At 34.7% G+C, this 2,687-nt stretch overlaps 1 annotated feature.

The window, feature by feature from the left end:
• Nucleotides 1,941-2,487: an enhancer, noted in NCBI's record as "OCT4-NANOG hESC enhancer chr18:49754501-49755047 (GRCh37/hg19 assembly coordinates)". NCBI's record gives its function as "activates a minimal SCP1, AML or CMV promoter by ChIP-STARR-seq in naive H9 embryonic stem cells {active_cell/tissue: H9 hESC(naive)}" and the evidence as "EXISTENCE:reporter gene assay evidence [ECO:0000049][PMID:30033119]".

Raw genomic sequence — 2,687 nt, 5'->3', positions numbered from 1 at the left:
TTATTTGCCCTGCCACAGGTGAAAAAAGAAAAGACTTTTATCTCATTTATCTTTATAGGGGCATATTACTCTTTGGAATTTATGCTTTGCAATTTCAATAATGATGGCTTTTTAAAAAAGTCATGATTTAGGAGATTATTCAGCTCTTTCTCATTGTTAGGATGGGAACAATCCTTTCTTGCACTCTTTTGCATCCTGAGCAGAAGTTGAAAATTTTATCTGTATTTGATTCAGATATTGTCATCAAATTTAAAAACTAAGAGAGACCTTCCTATTCCCCTAGGAAAGTGGTTATAAGGCATTTTATGCTGGTGAAATTCTAGAATTTGTGAAAATATGCTTGAAAGGATTGGTAAGTGAACAGAAATTTTAAAAATCAGGTTTGGAAAAAAGTAATGAAATAAATCTTCAACAGTTGTAGTATTTATTGGTCACTCTTTATCACTGGTTAGCTATTTATATCAGGTTGTTTGCCACCCTGAGCATGCAATTTGAAACATTAAAAAGGCAAAGTAGTCGCATGTTTCAGTAAACACAGATTCCATCTTGGGCTTCACATTAAACCATGCCTTTTACTCACAGTACTTCGTGTACCACTTTGTGCTGGGTCACTTGTCCTGTCCAGCTCAAATTTCCATTATTTGTATTAAAAGAAAATGCACATACTCATCAAAATTTAGCTGCACAATTCTGAAGGATTTTGGTAACTTGACATACCAGGAATTTCACCACCCTCATCCAACTCTTACATTTTATAGATAAACAAAAGTCAGATTAATTATTACCACATAATAGCACAGCCATGGCAAAAATTTAGGCATCATGATTCTAGTGCCTTTGACTTAGAAAGATAGTGTCTATAAGAAGTTATTAGATGGTGTCTTTGTTTTGTATTTCCTTCAAAATTCAGCTGAGGTGGGCAGATTGCTTGAGCCCAGGAGTTCGAGACCAGCCTGGAAAAGATGGCGAAACCCCATCTCTACAAAAGTTATAAAAACTAGCCAGGTGTGGTAATGTGTGGCTGTGGTCCCAGCTACTCAGGAGGCTGAAGTGGGAGAATCACCTGAACCCAGGATGTTGAGGCTGCGGTGAGCCATGATAGTACCACTGCACTCCAGCCTAGGCAACATACCAAGACCCTGTCTCCAAAAAAAAAAAAAAAAAAAAATTAATGGTTTATTTCTAAAACTGCTGTAAAATTGTTTTAAGCTTTTTTTTTTTTGGTTACTTTTCTATCAACAGTTGGTCTGCACACTTAGTGAAAGAAGCAGGAGAAACTTTTAAAAAATGTTTATTAAATTAAAAAAATCACTTTTTTATTTGAATCTCCTGAAGAACCTAGAATATTAGTCACATCAAAGTTGATTTGCATGTTAAAGTAGATTAATTTTTAATTGCATTGAGCTAGACTTTTGATGGCCATTTGTATAATGCAAAGGTCTATGCAGATAGATACATATGTGGCTTTGTTTGATTATCATCTAGTAGATTTTGAGAATTCTATCCTATTTTGTTTTGTAAGTGGGAGTCAAAATGTCTGTCTCTAATCTTAACCATGGAAAGCAAAAGCTGTGGCTTTGCAAGTATCTGTACCATGCACACCCCAATATTTGGAAAAATTAATCATTTAAGACATCATTTTTTGGTGATTTAGCAGATCCAATCATCAACTATTTCCTAACTCAATCACAGACTTTAAAAATACATGTACTGGTTCATTTTGAGCAAAATTTAACTTTTACTGACTCATCATTGACAGGAAAATGTCTCTGTCTTATAGTATAAATAGTAGTAATGACTGATCATTCCAAGAGGATAAATAGGTAGCAGGACAGGCTACTTTCAACCTCCTCTGCAGTTGTATCACATAAAAAAAAAAAACAAAAAAAAACAAAAAAAAAAACAACCTTACTCAAGATGCATACTGTCAGAGATTATCTCATACCCCTGCCAAATGTGGGTTATAAAGGCCTAACAAAAGAATAAAGTAACAAAAATCACCTCCATCCCTTTTACTAAATGCAACTGCCACAAATTACTGGAAATCTTTCCAATTATGGCCCTAAAATTGAGCATTCAATTGGGAACAAACAAGGCCTACTCCACTGCTAATCCTTCGAAAATTACAAAAATTCTAAATTGCCTGTCTTGGATTGAAGTAGATACTTACAAGGTAATGGGGTGGTCTTGGTCACCAAAGAGATGGAAATTCAAATAAAGGATGTGACACTGCGGGTGTTAGCAAGTGCTAAGTAAAAGGACGCCTCTCTTTCTTTGTGCTTGTTGACCTCTTTACTCCCAATGCTCAGTCTCTGGGGCTAAATGCATTTCCATTTCTTGTGATCTCTTTTGGGCTTTCTCATGAGAAATCTCCCTTCTATCCCTTCCTTTACTCTCCATGCATCTCCAAGCAGAGTATCAGTCTGGATCCTTAAAAGGACTGAGTTATATTGGGTCAATCATAAAAATTTAGGTTCTATAAGCACTGGATAATTCTCTTAAAACTTGAATTTAGCAAATTTTCAAAAGAGCATCGCATACCATATGAGAAGGTTTTATATGAATAAGTTACAAAATGATAAACTAAAATGAGATAGTATTAGACACATCTTATATTCTGAGTTTATAGACATCTTACATTCTGAGTTTCTCAGTTATTTATAAAAGCATTGCAAATCAACTAGTTA

The sequence above is a fragment of the Homo sapiens genome, chromosome 18, assembly GCF_000001405.40.
Source record: "Homo sapiens chromosome 18, GRCh38.p14 Primary Assembly".
Classification (NCBI taxonomy): Eukaryota; Metazoa; Chordata; class Mammalia; order Primates; family Hominidae; genus Homo; species Homo sapiens.
This window is presented reverse-complemented; position numbering and strand designations above follow the sequence as displayed.